Raw genomic sequence first — 20,523 nt, forward strand, 5'->3', positions numbered from 1 at the left:
TTGTAAAGACCAACCCACATCTTAACAGTTTCATCAGTAGAGGGTATCAGGTGCCCTGGGAAATAGAAGGGAAATGACTGTTGTTTTAGACTTGATACTGCCCCAAATGAACAGAGAGCAGAGAGCCAGCCACCTCACTGCCTGCCAGAGGGACTGCCATGCACTTCTTGCAATTATACAACATGTACTTTTTTCTTTTTTTTTCCTGAGGCAGGGGGTTGCTGTGTGGCCCAGGCAGGAGTGCAGTGGTGCAATCACAGCTCACTGCAGCGTCGACCTCCTGGGCTCAAGCGATTCTCCCACCTCAGCACCCCAAGTAGCTGGGACCACAGGACACACCACCATGCCTGGATAATTTTTTACTTTTTTGTAGAGGCGGGGTCCCCCTATGTTGCCCAGACTGGTTTCAAATTTTTGGGCTCAAGCAATTCTCTCGCCTCTACCTCCCAAAGTGCTGTGACTATAAGCATGAGCCACCATGCCCAGCCTAACATTTATAATACTTCTAAAATTCCTTTCTAGTCATTTTGGCAGAGTCACAACTTACACATAGGGGTTGGATTCTAAGGCAAGAGCGTAAGGCAGAAATCACCTTGAAAAGTCTCAGAAATCTCCCATTGTGTGAGGTGAGTGTGGTTTGGCACATATTACTCCTCTATAGTGTTTCTTGTGCGCACTGACATTTAAGAGCACCTGAGCTAGACTGCAGGAAGTAACGGAAGGAAAGGCCATGTGCAGGTGTCTGGGTGACTGTCAATTCCCAGGGGTGAATGGGGAGGGCAGCAAGGACTCCACGTGCCCCCATTCCCCTGCATGGTTTATTCTGTTCTCTTTTAATATTAAGCCTCTATAACTGCAATTCTTCTGAAGAGATTTGTTTGTTGCTATGAAGTTAAACATGAAAGCACTCCACACAGAGCCTGGCACATAGTAGGTGATCACTAAAAGCTGGCTGAATTTGAATTCACAACCACAAACACACACTACTCTTCTGAAAGTCACAGAGAAGAATTGGCCATCTGCCTCCTGTCTTCCCAAGTCAGAATTTCCCATTAGACTCTCAACTCTGACGCCCTCAGGTACTGGCCACATCTCATATAGGGAGAGATGGTGAAGGAGTGAGAATGTGCTGGGGTCTGGAATCGCCATGTGGCTCTGCTGATCTTCTTAAAGTCCAGGATCTGGGTGCAGACTACCCCAAAGCACAGGCTACCCAAAAGGGTCAGATAGCACCCATGGGGAAATGACTATAAGGGCAAGAATCAAAAGACAAGGAAGGTCTGAAAGACTTGGACCACCCTGGAGAAGCACACAGAAGCTCTTACGTTGCTGATGTACTCGAGAGGGGTGAGACTAAAGGCGGGCAGTTCATCTGTGAGGGTTTCTCCGATGCCAGCCGTATTCCAGCTCTAAGGGTGGAACGAGAGGACACAATCAGTACCTAGCAGCCAGGCAGCTGTGAAGACGCCACCCAGAAATACACAAGAAGAACATGGCCTTCCCTGGAGGCACTGTCTTTGGTTGGAGCTGACCGTTGGAGCCTCCACCACTCAGCAGGCAGGGGCTTCTCTTCTTTAAAGCTTCACCTGGAAGCCCGCCATACAGAAGGCAACGATTTCTCTCTCCGCATTCCTGCAGGTCCATGAAACAGGAACTGCCACATTGGCTGAACTGTGGGGTGGGAACTGATCCCTTTCATTTATCTCGCTGAGATTGTAACAGGAGAAAGTTGGATATTTTTGGTCCAAGTTTCTCTGCGTAGCGGGGCCACTGTGTAGAGAGGTGCTGGGTGCAGACAGCCTCACTACTTCGTGGGTCCTTAGCACCCTAAGGAGAACAGGGCACCCTGAGGTCCCCCACAGAGGCCACGTGTCAGTCTCTTATCTGGGAGGGAGACCTAGGAAGCCCCTCTGGCTGCAGGAAGAGCCAAGCCTCATCGGCAATACTGCTTTACCTCAACTAAAGCTGCTGCTTTATTTCTCACCACCTTCTGGATCTGTTTCTCAACTCATCAGAACTCAGAGGGATGGGGATGGGACGGCACTTCCAAACCCCAACAGCTGCCCCTCTGGCCTCTCTGTAGTCCCCCTGTGCGAGGAGAACCTCAGCACTAACACGTGTTTCTTGCCATTTGGAGTGGAAACATCTTCCGTGTTGTTGTGGAAGCCTTCCCAGCAGTTTATATAGAGTTGGGTAAAGGACCTGTGCACATGTGCTCACAGACTTCAGAGTGGCACACCTTCACACAAAAATCTCGCTTCTTACTTCCAACCTGAGCCACTCTAAAGCCAGCCCTGGAAAACAAGGCCCTTTCTGGCTGAACTCCGGGAGTGACTCCGGCGGTCATGTAGGAACTGCTGTCTGCAGCCACCTGATGTTGGATCCGGTTGCCTGATCCTTTAAGTAGCATTCCGGGAAAGGAATGACCATGTCCAACCCTGGGCTCCCAGCCCAGGCTCAGCCTCGGCAGCCCTCCCCGTGCTCTCTAGCGCCCACTTGATTCGGTCTTATTTTCTTTGATGTAAATGAGCTCTTTTCTTCCCCACCCCAGGTGCCCCCAACCCTTGTCCTACAGTTTTCTAGACTCTTTGTTCTTGCCTGCGAATGCTCTTTTGTCTCAAAAGAGCCTACATTTTTTCCAGCTAACTCCCAATCCAGCGAGAAGGAACACGCCAACCATCCACATTTACCAAGTACCCAGGATGTCGAGTGTCTTGTGCTAAGCTTTGCAGAGAAGAGACAAAGAAATGTAAGATTTGCTCCTTGCTCTCTAGAAGGGAGCTACTTGGGGAAGCAAGACCCCCTGACATACTCCCACCCTGTACACCCCCACACCTCCTATCCTGTTCTGGCCCCTCCCCTCTCCCCCCTGCAGACACATGAGTGCTGCCTCCCACTTCTAGAGCTCTCGGTGTCAGAGGCAAGGAGCAAGAAGAGCTCAGGGCGATTAGAGAAGCGGCTGGCCATAGGATGTATGCGGTACACAGAGGCAGACAGAGGCTGGAGGGAGAAGGCACAGCTTTAAACACCAGGCTAAGTAAAGCCTTTACCTTGAACAAGTAAATTGCAAGGGAAAAAGAAAGAGAGAGGAAACTTACCATTCAAAAATGACAAAAAAGACATCCCAATAAATCTCTACGTGCAGGATCCTGGATCCTAGATCCTGACTCAAAGGGTTAAAATAAATTATGCCATTTATAAAACAACTGGAAATTTGAACACTGATGACATTAGGAATTCCTTTTCTTTTTCTTTTTTAGGGTTGACTATGGTACTGTGATTATTTTTAGAGTCCTTCTATTTCAGATGAGGGGGTATGTATGAAACAGGATGGCTAGGAGTGGATCATGGTTGGAGCAGGTGATGAGTATATGGAGTTCCTTATACTCTTCTCCCTACTTCTGTGTATGCGTGAAAAGGTCCATAAGAAGTTGCTAAAAACAGACAATCAGACTAGCCCTGGGGAGGGTTTTGAATGAGGAGAGATAAAACCAAAACAATGCTTTGTGAAGGTGAATACAGCAGCTCTGCAGAAAATTGGGGTGGGGGGCAGATGAAAAGCTCAAAAACAGCTCAGAGATGATGAGAATCCCCTGTGGAAACAGGTGTGGGACACAGAGAAAAGGAAGGGACAGCAATCCTTGGTGGTTTGTCGGCAAAGAGGGGTGCAGCAAGGGAGCCCAGATGGTGACAGGCTGGGAAGCAGAGTGTGGGGAGAAGCAACGGCTTCCAGGAGACCAAGAGCAGGTAACAATGTGCAGGGCGAAGACAAGCACTGCTGCCATCCATCCCAGGGACTGCAGCCTGGAGGCCCCAGGAAAGGCCTCAAAGGGGAGGCAGGAGGAGCAGCCTCAAAACATGAACAGGCAGAGGAGAGAGGGAAAGAACAGCTGGAGTGGGAAAGAAGTTTGGAAGAAGCGCAAGACAGAGTGGCTTGAAATAGGAGGGTGCTTAAAAAGCAGCAGATGGCTGGCTGCGGTGGCTCATGCCTCTAATCCCAGCACTTTGAGAGGCTGAGGCGGGCGGATCACTTGAGCCCAGGAGTTTGAGACCAGCCTGGCCTACATGGTGAAACCCCATTTCTACTAAAAATACAAAAATTAGCCGGGTGTGGTGACGCTTGCCTGTAGTCCCAGATACTTGGGAGGCTGAGGCATGAGAAGTGTTTGAACCCAGGAGGCGGAGGTTGCAGTGAGTGGAGATCACACCACTGCACTCCAGCCTGGGCAACAGAGTGAGACTTTGTCTCAAAAAAAAAAGGGGGGGGGGAAAACAGCAGAGAATGTCACTTGAGGGCAATAGGGAAATGCTGCAGGTCATTTTTTAATTGTTCAAAATTTATTTAAAGTGTCCTTCAAATGGGCTTTTCTATCCATCTGTCACCAGGTAAAATAGGTAAACTTCAATAATCCATTTTGAAATCAAATATAGCGTTGGTTTGTAGTCTCGGAATATAAAAGGGCAATAGAATTTACCAGCAAATGCTGAAAACAAACATTTGATGACCAGGGTTTAATTTTCAAATCCTTAAGGCCAGAGTGTTTGCCTTGGTATTGTGTGCTGGCACCCTCGGAGTGCTCCTCCTAATCTCCAAAGCCACCTGCGCCCATTCCCAAGGGGCCACGGTGCTGTGGTGAAGCCGGAATGAGAAGGTAGGGCCAAGCACCCAGGAACTCCACCATCAATAATGAACTCTGGAATGCAGAAGTAGAGGGAAAAGGACGGGGGAAGCACCACCCCTGTTTAAATGTAGAACTAAGCTGGGAAGCACTGAGGTTTCAGAACAGAAGGTCAGTACCGTCAGCTTTGACAAAATAAAAATAATACAAACAACCCAATCTGCAGGTGAGGGAGGGGACAGGAGAGAGACAAAGAAAGCTAATCCTTTCGTTTTTCAATGGATCATATGTATCAGTATCTGTCTGCAATGGAAACAGGATTAACAAAAAGCAATGGCAACTCCAATCTCTTCATACTCATAATCTTTTTTTCATAACCTTGGAGAGAGCTTCTGGGGAATGAGTATCTTTCGTGGAGAAAAAAAAAAAATCTCGACCAGGCTTGGTGGCTCATGCCTGTAATCCCAGCACTTTGGGAGGCCGAGGTGGGTGAATCACTGGAGGTCTGGAGTTCAAGACCAGCCTGGGCAACCTGACGAAACCCCGTCTCTACCAAAAAATACAAAAATTAGCCTGGAGTGGTGGCAGGCGCCTATAGTCCCAGCTACTCGAGAAGCTGAGGCAGGAGGATCACTTGAACCCAGGCAGCAGAGGTTGTAGTGAGCCAAGATTGTGCCACTGCATTCCAGCCTGGGTGACAGAGTGAGACTCAGTCTCAAAAAAAGAGAAAAGAAAAGAAAAATGTCTCAAGTTCAATAATTCCTTTAGATTCATTTAGTGTCTCTTTTTTCTGGTTAAATTCAAATAAAATTATATTGTGCATATCTTGTTTTTCTTAAAAACAGCATTATAGTATAATTCCATTTCTTCCTATAGATCTATCCACTGATGCCCAATCAGCCTTTAACATGTATAGGCGTGCAGAAAGAGATGTCTGGGTTGCTGGACATCAAACTGCTGACGCTGATTATTTCTCAATGGTGGGATCTTGGAGGTATTTATTAGATTTTTTTTTTTTGTATTTTCTTGTATTGCTTGAGTTTCTAAAAATAAATACCTATACAATTTTTATTTTAAAAAAATCAAGTAAGTCATTCTTCTTAAAAATGAGAATCACAGAAAAGAAGAAAACTACCACTTATTACACATCTACTCTGTGGCCAGTGCTATGCTAAATTCTATCAATATACAAAATCTCACTTAATCCTCATCAATCTATATAAGAATTACTATATCCCCATCACACAGATGAGGAAACGGAGGCTCACGGAGGAAGGAATAACTCAGCCATGTGATGGCACCCGCCTCATTTCTGCTACAGCTCTCCTCCACTTTACGTCCCCTTCTGCGCTACAAATACAAAATCTGATTGAAATAGATCTCATGGCATTTTGCACAGAAAAATCATAAAGAGTGAAAATCACAAACTTCAAGGGTAGAAGGAACCTCACGATCATGTCGTTTAACTGAGCAATTTTACGGATGGGAATCCTGACTCCCAGTGAGGGGGTGAGGCCTGACTGAGACCATGCAGGAGCCCTGGACTCCCAGCCTTGCAGGCTTTCTAGAGGGTGGCAGAAAGGAGAGCACGTTTGATTTTGCCAGATGAGTTCTTGTCATTTTGTAAAAAGATCTCTTGGTTATTAAAGGCCCATAACTGGAATCCAAATGGCCCTGAAGGGTCAGTAAGATACATTAACCAGGGGGCTGTCCCGCCCAGTAATCCAAAAGGAAAGTAACAAGATCTGGAGCAGGGGAAAGACAGCAAGTAGAGAAAATAGAACAGGCAATGCCTTGAAAAATAATTCGGACAACCAGAAAAGAGAAGAGGGTGTGAGGAAAGGAAAGTGAGTCGATTCTAGAAACAGCCAAACAGAAAAGGTATCAAGGAAAGAAAGGAACAGAACCCTCCAAAGCCCCCTCAAAAACACAAGTTCAATTCTGATAAGGTACTCCCCTGAGTAAAGTTCCAGAACCAATTCTCCAGAAATGATTCGTGTGGTGTGAAAATAATTCAATCTCAAAAGACAATTAGCTCTTCTGACCTGGCCTAACCTACGAAGCTGCACATAATCTCTATTACTTCTCTGCTGCTCCAAATAGGGAAAGTTAATCAAGCAATTTTAATAATCCTGAGAACCGCCTGTGAATAAAGTATCAGAGTAACTACAATAAAGATAAGAAATTCATGCTAAGCAATGAGGTGAAATTGGAAAGTGGCTCTTTCCGGCTTGGGAAAGTTAAAGCGGGATCTTCCCAAAGCTCTTGGAACAGGGAGGGTTAAGCCCACACTCAGTATGCTTGAGTTGGAGGCAGGACCCGGGAAAAATTGATGTGGTCAGTGAGAAACTCACGTCCATCTTCGAAATAAGCAACAGCTGTTGTTTGATGCGCAGGAACACGGAATCGAAAGCCAGCTGGTGGGCCTGCTGGTTAAGCCGAGTCAGCGCTGCTCGAGGTGCAGCCAGCAGGTTGTGGTTGCTTGACCCTTTTTCCTAAGACAAGAAAATGCAAAAGGCAGTTGTTAGGCCTGAAACCCAACCCAAGTATTAGCTAGTTAACCATTTTGAAAACTCACAGGAGAACTGGGGGTTCTATGCAATAGTGGTTCCCAAACCTGGCTGTGCCCCAGGCCCCTCTGGAGAACATGCTGAATTACAGATTCCCAAGCTCCACCCCAGAACTACTGCATCAGAGTTCACTGGGGTTGGAGCCCAGAAATCTAGATTTTAAATTCACTTTCCCAGGTGATTCTGATGCACTTGGGCTAACATGAGCTCATGGACAAGCAGTTTAGGAAAAATTCACCTGTGACCATCCCTCAGGGATAGAGGAGGTGGGAAAGAGGGGGGAAACAAGATCAGAAGCTTCACATATAAATCAGAGTGATGGACAGAGCCCTAATTCCCGGGGAGGTCAGGTCAAATATACTTGGCTGAAAGCCAAAGTATGTACAACCTCCATGAGTCCCAAGGAATTCCAAATAGCCTGAGAAAATAGAGATGGAAAGTGTAACCTTAGTTTTGTTATTATAAATGAACTGATTACAACAGACATAAATCAGATTAGCAATAAAGATAAACAGAGTTGCTTTAACCTAATCACAGAAGCATGGATGAATGAGTTTCCAGAATTGCTTTACGAAGTGTTTGTCAAGCTCAATGCAACCAGTTGGTGGGTCAAGGTGCAAAGAGATGGGGAGGCCCTGGGAGAATAGCACTGAAGCCTCAGACATGTCCAGGCCCCCTGTGCAGTTCATTCCAGAGCTCTAGGCTGTGGATAATTTTCTACTGCATCTGGCCAGGTGCAGTGGCTCACGCCTGTAATCCCAGCACTTTGGGAGGCTGAGACAGGCAGATCACCTGAGGTCAGGAGTTCGAGGCCAGCCTGGCCAATATGGTGAAACCCTTTCTTTACTAAAAATACAAAAATTAGCCAGGTGTGGTGGCGCATGCCTATAATCCCAGCTATTCAGGAGGCTGAGGCAGAAGAAACGCTTGAAGCGGGGAGGCAGAGGTTGCAGTGATCCGAGATTGTGCCACTGCACTCCAGCCTAGGCGACAGAGTGAGACTCCATCTCAAAAGAAAAAATTTTCTACTGCATCTGGTGCTCCAGGAACAGCAATGTCTCCTCTGTCTATCACCAAGAGTGAAGTTAAAGCCAGACCAGTGAGGGAGGAGGACAGTTCTGCAAAGGATGCCCACGGTCTTCTTATGACCCTGGAAGCCATTCCCAAGGAATTGTGTGACTCATTCCATTTGTTAGGAAGTTCTCCTGTCCCTGGACCCCAAGGGGCTCAAAGTCAAGGGCAGCGTTATGGCAGGCAAACTAAGAGTTTAAAGAAAAAAACCAGGAGGGAACACCAATCCCCAAGTCCTCATGGTCCCATGTGGAAGAACTTGTACTTGGGTAGACTCCTGGTGACTCTGCAGCCTGGCTTCTCCCTTGGAAAAGAGTAATGACTTCTCTTGCTCCTCCTGGTATCCTGGGTTGGGATCCTCTATTACAGGTTCTGCCTGCCTGCAAGCAGTACACATCTGGTCCCCTCTCAGGAGGCTGACCCTGAACAGGGCCAGGGGCTGTCCAGCTCTGTCTGACCGGCTGACAAGTTTCATTCTGGAGTGAATTACAGCAAGTCCCCCTAGCCGCAGATCTAAACCCACATTCTCTTTTTTCCTTTTTTTTTTTTTTTTTGAGATGGAGTCTCGCTCTGTCACCCAGGCTGGAGTGTAGTGGCACAATATTAGCTCACTGTAACCGGTGCCTCCCTGGTTCAAGTGATTCTCCCACCTCTGCCTCCCAAGTAGCTGGGACTACAGGTGCGTGCCACCACACCTGGCTAATTTTTGTATTTTTAGTAGAGACCGGGTTTCACCATGTTGGCCAGACTGGTCTTAAACTCCTGACCTCAGGGGATCCACCCACCTCGGCCTCCCAAAGTGCTGGGATTACAGGTGTGAGCCACCACACCTGGCCTAAAGCCACATTCTCTAACCTGGCTTTTATCAGTAATAAAGATCCATCTCTTCTAACCTCTACATCTGTATCTCAATGGGTTTCAAGTTTAATATCTTAGCTCCTTAAAATCCCAACATAAATGAGACAGAGAGGTAGTAGCAGGGTACGTCACAGCCCAGGGCCACACACAGGGCCCGCCTGTAACCCAGAGAGGGAGAGGGTGAGTGATGAGAAGAAGCCTTTCATTTGCAAGAATGCCATTCATTTGGTCTCATACCTTAAGGGTATAAAGTATTTCCATTAAACTGGCATATTCAGCAGGGTTATCTTTCTGGAGGTAATTATATTCTTGCCATGGGTTCTTGGCAGAGTTCTTCTTGTCTGTCAAGATGCTCTCCTGAAAACCAGCCAGGCTCCGGGGGCTGCAGGAATCAGATAGATACTTCCCAGCTGTGGACAAAATCCTGTAATGAAAGGAATGACCATTATGCCCTGAGCTATTTGCATGGAACTTTCTTCTTGGAGCAGTCAGATTGCTCCTTACTAAATTCAAAGATAATCCTCATGAGACAGACTGAATTAAGGTCCAGTTTATAAGGCAACGAAAGGCTGCCCTTCATCATTGAGGAGTGAGCTGGACCTCAGGTGCACAATAAAAAAAACCCAGTGTTTTTATTCCTGCTGAACATTCACAGTGCCAGAACATGCTATCTCCCTAATATGACCGACAGCCTACATAGGGGCAGCTCTCAGTTTAGTCTGGAACACTGTGCACCTTCTATGGAGACTTTTCTTGCTATATGAGCATCAGGGTGTAGAACAGTCAAATGCCAGCATGGACCACCAGCACCACCATCAGAGAGACCGCTGGGCAGGATAGCAGCTGGCTGGCTCCTAGAGAACAGTGACAGCAGCTCGCTGCACGCCTCTTTACCCATGGGCCCACCTGTCCTACATGCCGAGCTTGCATGGTATTTGTGTTTGGTGGCACTGGGAGGTTTATTTTTGTGGTTTAGGTGCTACAGAGAGATCTATTGAGGCTGGCACTTTCCAAACTCTTTGAGAAAGACAAACGCCTAGAGGAGGTTTCATATGATAATCCACCCCTTGTACTGCTGGGGAAGTGGAATCTTGACCTCCACCCTGTTTTCCTTAGCCCAACTTTACCACCCATCCTACCCATCTAAATATGTACAGAATTACATGAACATGTGTAACACATTATGACACATCCCAAATGTGGCTAATTCCCTGCCTTCTCTTTTACTGTAATTTCTTATGAAAACATTGCTTTGGACATAGCAGTTTTTAGGATGCACTCACTATTTCAAAAACAGATCCTTGAGTTGTTCAAGAAATGCCTGTACTTGCAAATAAATCCCTGTGATACGATCTTCCTCAGAAGCCACTGCTGACATAAGCAGCTACCTGCCTCTGCCATTAAGTTCAAGTTCGTTCTTCCTGTTGCTTGAGCCAACCAGTAACTTTGGTTGGGTCTCTTATCTGTCAAACTGTGGCCTGTCTCTGCCATTGCCTTACTTCCAGTCTTCACTAGTTCTTGTCTGGATCACAGCAGGCTTCCAACTAACTGGCTTCCCCTTCCTCTAGTCCTCGAAGTTCTACTTAATCTGTCCTCCTAAGGGTTAGCAGAATGATCTTCCCAGAAGGCAAATCTGATTTTGGCTTTTTCCCAAAGATAGTGCTTCACAGGGGCATTAGAAAGGCTTGGTAGAGGAGAGGCCTTAAGGACCCCAGGAGGTTTCAGCCCTCTGCGCCATCAGCCAATGGCAGAGCTCCCAAAGGGCTCTTGCTTCTGTTCTGCATTTAACACATGCTGTCTCATTTCCCTCCAACTGGACGGTGAGGACAAAACACGGACTGTTCTTCATTTGTGAATTACTAGCACTAGCACAGTGCCTGGTACGTGGCAGGGGCTCCACAACTGTTGAAGGATGGGTGACCCTGGCTTTAGTGACCAGGTCTTCGGGGGACAGTTCAATGAGACAGTCAGGTTCTGGAAATCTAGCATAAATTTACAAGTTCCCATGGCTGAGAAGTGGGCAATAACTTGTCACAGTTGAGGGAACCAATGGAATTGTAATCCTCCCTCCTCTGTGCACACTGCGTTCTCTTGGCACAGCAATGAGCATACTGGCACATGCTGGATGCTCCCATTAATTTCTAAGCTCTTTGAGGGCGAGGATTGAGTTTAATTAACTGATATCCCCAAGACCTAGCTCAGAGCCCAGGAAAGCTGTGGCACAGTGGGAAGGGAGGTAGGGGTGAGTAAAGTGGGAGACAGAGGTGAGTGGGGCGAGAGATAGGGGCGAGTGGGGCGGGAGGCAGGGGGCGAGTGTGGCGGGAGGCAGGGGGCGAGTGTGGCGGGAGGCAGGGGGCGAGTGTGGCGGGAGGCAGGGGGCGAGTGTGGCGGGAGGCAGGGGGCGAGTGTGGCGGGAGGCAGGGGGCGAGTGGGGCGGGAGGCAGGGGGCGAGTGGGGCGGGAGGTAGGGGGCGAGTGGGGCGGGAGGTAGGGGCGAGTGGGGCGGGAGGTAGGGGACGAGTGGGGCGGGAGGTAGGGGACGAGTGGGGCGGGAGGTAGGGGTGAGTGGGGCGGGAGGCAGGGGGTGAGCAGGGCAGAAGGGAGAGGCGAGTGGCGGGGGGAGGTGGGGCAGGAGGTAGGGGCGAGTTGCTAAGGAAGGTCTGTGCTCTTTGTTGGCAGTTTCTTCTCACGATTCTTTGTTTCCCGTCATTTCTGAGACCACCAACTGTCTTTAGTCCAAGATTTTTTGTGATGGTTCTCATTATGGGGAAAGGCTCACAGCAGGATAGAGTGGGAGCAGCTGCTGCTGTTCCTAACTCACTCCTGAATGCCCAGCACAGAAATTGCGTGACTTTCGGGAGTGAATAAAACCAAAGTGCCACAGGCATACAGTAGAGTGTGTGTAAATAATATAAATGAAGTAAATGGTAATTCCTAGGACACAGATTTTCCTTAATCTCTTAATGAAATCAAGTATTACATTCTGAAGGGTAAGGAGAGACTGGTTAGGAGCACGAATGGGGACACAATAGATAAAAGATGGGCCTCTCTGGGCTGCATTTTGCAGCCCAGAGAGGCTGAAAGCCTGGCTGAGCTTCAAGTCAAGAACAGCCTGGGTGTATCCAAGGGAGCTCCTGAAAGAGATGATGTCATCCTGGAAGCACTAAGCCTGGAAAGGGACAGTCACCATCTGTGTTCCTGGCTGGAAGGCTGCACAGTGTGCATGCGTGTGTGTGTGTGTGTGTGTGTGTGCGTGCATGTGTGTGTGTGTGTGTGTGTATGTGGCAGGCACCTGTAAAGCTTATCTTATCTCCCCATCAATCTCACCAGCAGCACCTAGACTCCTACCAAGGACCACTCCCCACCAACAGGCGGGTGGCAGAGGCAACAGGTCAGAACGCGCTGGGCCGCTCCAGTGACAAGATTGACATTGGCCACCCAGCTCTTATGATCACTTCTCTGCAGAAAGGGATCATTTTGTGATTTACGGGCTGAGTAAAGCAAGGCCGAGTTGAAATCTCATCTGAGAGATTTCTCTCATCCTGGGCAGCTTGGGCCAGATATAGGGAGATTGCTGTGGCTCCTCTGTATTTTCCTAGCACCCATTACTTACTTTTGGAACAGTGGTGCTTTCATTTCACTTTGTACCACCACTAAAAATTTCATCACCCAGAGATTACTTTAGGGCAATAAAGAATCACCTAAGAAGGAGGTTAAGGGATTGCTGCTGGTCCCTCAAACAACTGTATGAAACAGACTTCTTCCCCTTAACTCCTAAGGAATAAAGGCATCAGCCATACCAAGGGAATCAAGAGATTTCATTTAAAGGGATAAAGAAAGAAATGTGGGAAGCCAGAGCCCCTTGAAGGGAAAAACTGTCTGAGGAAGGCCACCTCAGGGCAACATAAAAGCCCTGGCAGGTATGAGAAGAGAGGAAGGGAGTAGGACAAGCTTTTCCAGGGCAGACCCCAGAGATTCCCCTTTGATACACAGCCCTTCAGCAGCACGGAATTTGACTGCAGGACCCAGAAGGCAGGCTGCCTAAGTTCACCCCGATCCTGAAGGCTGGCCCAAGGGACTTCACCACCACTTGTCACACCGTTTCTATATGGAAATTTATTTTTAGTCCCAACAACTAATTTATAAACAAGCAGTCGGAACCAAGCCCATTCCTAATTTGGAGACAAGATGCACTGTTTCCTCATTTAGGCTGAAACCACCATATCAAACCAAAATTACGTGACCCCTGCCAAGTAGGACAAAGCCTTGCCCTTTTTAGGTGCTCAATAAACGTTTAATGATGACAATAATGACACGCTGTATCTAGGTACAGACAGTCCTCCAGCCCTGTGGCCTTCACATCTGGCATATGCTGTCCTTGCTGTACTGTGTACTAGACCAAGCTCGTGCTGATCAGGAACCCCAGGGTGTAGAGGACAATGACTCCTCTCTCCTACCTGTTGGCTAGCTGCTGCTCGAAGTCCCCACAATGCCGCAAAAGCTCTCCACAGGTGGCTATTATCCTAAACAAAACAAAAAGCACTTCAAGTTCAAGTATCTGGAATGCCAGCCTTTACAGGACAAACATTGTCTTATTCATAAAAATCCTAACTATTTGCTCCTTTGGGTAGTTCTGGTTCTGGGAAAGCCGTTAAACATCTGCTGGCCTGAAATGTTTCATTCATTAGTCATTAATGTAAAAAGAAAATGCTGGTCCCTTCCAATAACCTCCATTGTCACTGGCATCTCTGCTACGAAAGCACAATTCTATCCATGGCCCCCTCAAATAATTTTACATTTCCAAAATACTCAGCTTTGTCCTTGAGAAAAACAGGGTAGAGATATTTTATATCTAAAATTTATTATTTATTTATTTATTTATTTTTGCAACTAAGTCTCGCTCTGTCACCCAGGCTGGAGTGCAATGGCGTCATCTTGGCTCACTGCAACCTCTGCCTCCCAGGTTCAAGTGACTCTCCTGCCTCAGCCTCCCAAGTAGCTGGGATTACAGGCGCACGCCACCACGCCTGGCTAATTTTTGTTATTTTTAGTAGAGACGGGGTTTCACTATATTGGCCAGGCTGGTCTCAAACTCCCGACCTTAAGTGATCCGCCTGCCTTGGCCTCCCAAAATGCTGGGATTATAGGAGTGAGCCACCACATCCTGCCTGTATCTAAAATTAAAAACAAAAAAAATGTATCACTTAATATTTGCTAGATGCCTGCTAGTTTCCAGACACAGAAAATGTTTTGGTACTAGAAGTATCTTTCCCTGATCATATGAAAGGCAGATGAAGATTAATCCATTTGTTTCTCAGAGATAAGCCCAAATGACCATCATATCCGTATTGAATGATCCTTTAATTTTCAAGTAATTTTATGCCAAGCCTCAAACTCCCAGCTGCTGGGTCCTTCAACACCAAACTCATAATGTCAGGACAAATCCAAGGATTAAAAACATCTTAAGTCTAGTTAACTTTTAACCTTCTCTAAAAGTGCGCATCATCACCAGGCTATCTAGGCATTCCATCATAAGAAAAGTTTATGAGAAGGTAAAATATTCCACTTCCCTTACGTGCAACAGAACAAACTTGTGCATAATATTTTCCAGAATACCAAACCACCACGGGTGATAAGGGATACAGTTAGCATCTAGAACATTACATTTTTTTTAAATTTTATTTTAAGTTCCGGGATACATGTGTAGGACGTGCAGGTTTGTTAATAGGTAAACGTGTGTCATCGTGGTTTGCTGCACCTATCAACCCATAGAACATTAAATTTCATCAAAACAATCCAGAACAGAGCCTGTGAGGTGAGGTAATAATCTAAAATGGTCCTGAGTGGTCCTGGATCTACCCAACGGCCTTGGGTGGGTCTGGGTCTGCTCTGGCATGGGCCACCGCATTAAGAACCACATGTGTCACGGGCAAGGGTCAGGTAAGACATGAAAGTGGGTGAAGTGCGCCAAGTGAACGGCCATTTCTCTCTTGGGAAAATATATCCAGGAAGAATGGTTTTAAGAAAAAGAAACTTCCAGATTGCTTTTTTTTTTTTTTTTGAGATGAGGTCTTGCTCTGTCACCCAGGCTGGAGTGCAATGGTGCAGTCTTGGCTCACTGCAACCTCCACCTCCCAGGTTCAAGCAATTCTCCTGCCTCAGCCTCCCAAGTAGCTGGGATTACAGGCACGTGCCACCATGCCCAGCTAATTGTTGTATTTTTAGTAGAGACAGGGTTTCACCATGTTGGCCAGGCTGGTCTTGAACTCCTGACCTCAGATGATCCACCTACCTCGACCTCCCAAAGTGCTGGGATTACAGGTGTGAGCCACTGTGCCCAGCCTGCTTTTCATCTGTTGTATGGTGCTTCTCTTCTCTGCCAAGTGGTCTGAGAGCCTAATCGTATCACTATTAGCCCACTTGGGAGAGGAGAGAAGCACTGCACAACAGGGAACCCGTGCCCAGTTTCTCAGGGACCCCTGCTGCCAGCCCCAGTGGCTATGACAATGCAGGCCCAGTGTTGCCTGAGCATCTCATTTTTTAGGTGACATTAGAAATCCGGATCATGTTAAATCTAGTTTTTAAATATTGGCAACAAATCCACTTGTTAAAAACTGCAATGATCAAACATGTCCATAGGTCAAATCTGGCCATAGGCCAACAGTCCATGCTCTCCAGCTGGACATGTCAAGGACCAAATCTTCTCAGGCAACTGCTGATCGAACCTCCATCAAGCCTCAGGGACTGGGGCAAAATAGGGTGTCTACCTAGTGGCCCACAGGCCACACAGGCTATTCCAGAATCTGGCCCTCAACAACGACTTGAGAAGGTCACCTCAATTCCTTTCACTGAACCTTTTTTGTTTTGAGACAGGGTTTTGCCCTGTCACCCAGGCTGGAGTGCAGCAGCAGGATCTCGGCTCACTTCAACCTCCACCTCCCAGGTTCAAGCAATTCCCCTGCCTCAGCCTCCTGGGTAGCTGGGATTACAGGCATACACCACCACACCCAGCTAATTTTTGTATTTTTAGTAGAGACGGGGTTTCACCATGTTGGCCAGGTTGGTCTTGAACTACTGACCTCAAGTGATCTGCCCGCCTCAGCCTCCCAAAGTGCTGGGATGAAAAGCATGAGCCACCAAGCCCAGCCCTTTCACTGAACTCTTAAATGGCCCTTTCCAGGCCAAATAGCGTTGCCTGGAACCATTTAGTACCATGTACCATGGTTCTCAGATCCAGAAACAGGATCCGATCACCTATGCATTTTCTAATACATAAGCCCTAAGTTATTTTAGGTCTATAAAAACTATACGCTAAGGTGGGGGTAAAAAATCTCACATCAAATATAAAAAATTTAAGTCATTAAAGGAGATGAGGCATTTGTAAAGAACTTTTAAAAATATCTTAAGAGCTGGAGGGGTCTTTTTGTTGGTTGGTTTGGGTTGGGTTTTATTGGTTTGTGTTTAGAGTCTGGAGTATTTGCTTTTTAAAAAGGCAGTGAAAGAAAAAAAACGAACCCCTTCCAAACACATTTGTCATTTTTATATACTATATCATGCATGTTTATGCTGGCTACATTAGGAACAAGCTTGAATTACAACCCCCGGTTTACCTAATGGAGTTCTGAAAAGCCGTCCAATCTTCCTGGAAGAGGGAGTTGGGAGGAATGTGGTCCAGTTTGCACTTCTTTCGTATGGACTGGAGAGTGCTGGTGAAATCAGACACATACCTGCCGGGAAAGGGAAGAAAATGGTAGGGAGGTCACCACTGATTCCCCAACTCTAAAGAGACCTGGAATTCTACAGCTCTGGACAAATTGCTAATGGCCTTGAGAGCATCTTTAGAGGCTCCCACCGACGAGTGAAACTGCTTGTAAACCTCTGAACACAAAAAGTTCTTCTCTATGTGGCAAGACTGTCTTCACCACCTGGTTGAGCAGTTTCTAAAAGAGATGCCCAAGAGGAGAAGGAAGGAATAATCGTGAAGTTGACTCCAGGGAGCAACCAGGTGAGAGATGATGCTGATAAATCCCCCCTCATCCAGATAAGTACATTTCTGTGAAAGCAGGTTTGAAGAACTGTTTAAACATCACGGTCCCATGGTAATAACTGACTGTGACCTGGGATAACGTAAGGAAGGTCATGACATCCAAGGTACCTCTGCATCATTCTCATCCTCTAAATTTAGATTAAATACCCGTGGCAAAAAGATTAAAGTTTCACGGCTGGCAAGTGTCTGACTTTAATGGGACAGACGCATGAAAGTGGATTCAAAGCCAGGAGATCCTCCCTCACAGGCTGCGTTGTTTGCTCTCACTGTACACACATACTTTTCCCTCACAGCATCTAAAACACTGTAATTAAACAGCTTGTTTAGACAGGGCATGGTGGCTCACACCTGTAATCCCAGCACCTTGGGAGGCTGAGGAAGGAGGATCACTTGAGCTCAAGGAGTTCGAGACCTGCCTGGGCAACAGAGTGAGATCCCATCTCTAAAAAAAACAAAAAAATTAGGCGGGTGTGGTAGCTCATGCCTGTAATCACAGCACTTTGGGAGGCCGAGGTAAGAGGACCACTTGTGCATGGAAGTTCAAGACCACACTGGGTGACATGGCAAAACTTTGTCTCTACAAAGAATACAAAAATTAGCCTGGCGTGGTGGCGCATGCCTGTAGTCCCAGCTACTCAGGAGGCTGGGGTGGAAAGATGGCTTGAGCCTAGGAGGTCAAGGCTGCAGTGGGCCATGAGCACGCCACTGCACTCCAGCCTGGGTGGCAGAGCAAGACCCTGTCTCCAGATAAAGAAATAGCTTGTATGATGCTTATTGCTGCTGCTAGACTTTAAGCTCTGGGAGAACAGAGTCTGTGCCTCATACTTATATCCCCAGGAACTAGCACAGAGCTGGACATAAAGGAGGGAGTCATGTCCTCTGAAAGCTACGAAACCTGTGCCTCATACTTATATCCCCAGGAACTAGCACAGAGCTGGACATAAAGGAGGGAGTCATGTCCTCTGAAAGCTACGAAACCTGTGACATTTGCATGCATCACAAGAGGCCTTGCCGCTTGCCCCTCCCAAAACGAAGCTCTAAATGAGGAAAGTGAAATGTGAGGACCCAGGGCACAGCCCCAAAAGGTCAGTCCATGCAGTGGAGACACAGGCCACTCAATGAACCAACTGGAAGAAACGGCTTCAGGTCACTCCACTGACTGCAAATGATCCTGCTGCTCCCTTTACAGAGAGCTCGATGCTTTCAGGTGGAAAGCTGCAAAACCCAGAGTACCACTGACAACACCTTCCCCTTGCACCAAGAGAGGTGACAGCTTTCTAGGGTTATAAGTCCCAGGAAGGAGAGGGGCTGGCCTCAAGCACAAACTGACAGGGGAATGTTAAGGAACATGATTGTGCTTTAGCCATGGGAAGTTAAACAACCATGTCACCACCTCTGCAACTATGGCAAATATCCATGTGCTCTGCAGAAAGAGCAGGTACACACTGCAGGAGAAGGAGTTTTGTTTAGCCACTATTCTCAGGTATGGTTATAAGCAAATGCTTTCTCTATTTCATTAGCTGTCAATCCAGAATTCTAAATGGTTTGTCATGAAATCTCAGAGGAAAAGTGTAGCTTTCATCACATCATTTTTGTTCCCAAACCCTCCAGCTGTTTCTCACAATACACATTTCCAATTGTCAACCATGTCAGAGTCACCGTGTTAGGGGCTTTAATGATATGCTTTTGGTTAATATTCACAACCTCCTTGGAAAGGAGATATTGTCATCATCAGTTTACTCAGAGAGGAACACTACCATCTCTAAGGTCCCCACTAGTAAGTGTCCAGAGCTCCCATGCCCATCACAGTCTTAATACCCCTCCTTCTTGAACCACCGGTTGGCCACTATACTCTATGCTTCATCCTAGTTCGAGTTAGGCCAACCTGCACCTGCCTTTCCTGCGTACCCTGTTCTCCTTGCCCCTGCCTCCCTTAATACCCTTCCCCAAACCCTCCTCACTACTGAACAATGTGCCATTTGAACCCTGCTCAAGTTAGCTTCAACCTGATTTCCCTGATTTTATAAGCATCAGCTATTTTGGTAACTTCAAAATCTTCCCTTTTAGAGAAGATGGCCTGGGTTTTCCAGATATACTTTTGTACAGTTTGAATGCTTAATATGGAAATGTATTATTTTGATTTTTTTTTATTTTTTATTTTTTGAGACAGAGTTTTGTTCTTGTTGCACAGGCTGGAGTGCCATGGCACAGTCTTGGCTCACTGCAAGCTCTGCCTCTTGGATTCAGCAATTTTTATGTCTCAGCCTCCTGAGCAGCTGGGATTACAGGCATCCACCATCATGCCTACCTGATTTTTGCATTTTTAGTAGAGATGAGCTTCGCCACGTTGACCAGGGTGGTTTCGAACTCCTGACCTCAAGTGATCCACCTGCCTCAGCCACCCAAAGTGCTGGGATTACAAGCGTGAGCCACCACACCCAGCCTGATGTTTCTTTTTCTGCAGGAACACATTCAGGCTCATCCGGCCACACCAGATGATGTGTTCCTATAGAAATGCCTACGTGGAACTGCCCTGGGAGGTGCTGGATGCCCGATGGCAATGCCAGGGAGCTCTGGGTCCAAGGAGCCTCCACAGTTCACAGAGGCATGCTCAGTATTTCTGGAACAATCAGAGACAGGGCTTCACCATGTTGGCCAAGCTGGTCTCGAACTCCTGAGTTTAAGCAATCCACCTGTCTTGGCCTCCCAAAGTACTGGGATTACAGGCGTGATTCACCGCACCAGGCCAAAGGTCCTTTTTCTTGTTCAAATAAACTTTGTTAAATTTAACTTGTCTAAGGTTTCTTTTTTTTTCTTAACATACTTTAACTGCTGCACAAGTTTCCCTCATATGAATATGTCACATCTTAAGTAACCTTCCCTAATGGGTAGACATTTACGTTGTTTCAAATGTTCCACCATTACAAACAATGCCACTATGAATATCCTTAACAACATCCTCTTGGGTTCAGGTGCAAGTGTTTCCCAGGGTTCAGAGAACAAATACAGAACACGTGCATTTTTATCTGGGACAGACACTGCTCCAATGTGGCCCGTCTGGTCCCCAGTTCCCCAGCCTTACTTGGCAAAGAGGGATTTCAGGGCTGACAACAGGCCGCAGGTCCCCAGGCCATTGGTGAATCTGACGCATCTGTCAACGGCTGCAGACGCCAGACCAAACAGCTTGTTCACGGAGTGGCTCAGCTCCTGCACACAGTCAATCACTTCCCCATGCTCCTGGTCAGCAAATACAGACAAAGCTGCATTAGGCTTTAGAACAGACAATGCTGAGATAGGGGAAGACCTCCAAGCCTTCTCATCTGTAGTAAAATCACTTAATAACGATGTCAGAAATATAG

General features: G+C 47.0%; 1 protein-coding gene and 1 pseudogene across 2 annotated transcripts in view, besides 1 other annotated feature; one reads left to right on the top strand and one right to left on the bottom strand.

The window, feature by feature from the left end:
- COG7 (component of oligomeric golgi complex 7) overlaps positions 1-20,523 on the bottom strand; it is a 64,697-nt gene that overhangs the window by 8,228 nt on the left and 35,946 nt on the right. For both annotated transcript variants that reach the window (NM_153603.4, XM_017023870.2), the window contains exons 9-14: positions 20,247-20,401; positions 16,728-16,844; positions 13,575-13,640; positions 9,356-9,542; positions 6,974-7,114; positions 1,326-1,409 (exon numbers count right to left, since the gene is read on the bottom strand). In NM_153603.4, coding sequence (NP_705831.1) covers positions 1,326-1,409; positions 6,974-7,114; positions 9,356-9,542; positions 13,575-13,640; positions 16,728-16,844; positions 20,247-20,401 — 750 coding nt within the window. The remainder of the gene's footprint in view (positions 1-1,325; positions 1,410-6,973; positions 7,115-9,355; positions 9,543-13,574; positions 13,641-16,727; positions 16,845-20,246; positions 20,402-20,523) is intronic.
- Positions 2,399-3,322: an enhancer, noted in NCBI's record as "OCT4-NANOG-H3K27ac hESC enhancer chr16:23410440-23411363 (GRCh37/hg19 assembly coordinates)". NCBI's record gives its function as "activates a minimal SCP1, AML or CMV promoter by ChIP-STARR-seq in naive H9 embryonic stem cells {active_cell/tissue: H9 hESC(naive)}" and the evidence as "EXISTENCE:reporter gene assay evidence [ECO:0000049][PMID:30033119]".
- Positions 15,660-19,960, top strand: RN7SKP23 (RN7SK pseudogene 23; annotated as a pseudogene).

This window comes from Homo sapiens, chromosome 16 (genome assembly GCF_000001405.40).
Source record: "Homo sapiens chromosome 16, GRCh38.p14 Primary Assembly".
In the NCBI taxonomy this organism is placed as follows: Eukaryota; Metazoa; Chordata; class Mammalia; order Primates; family Hominidae; genus Homo; species Homo sapiens.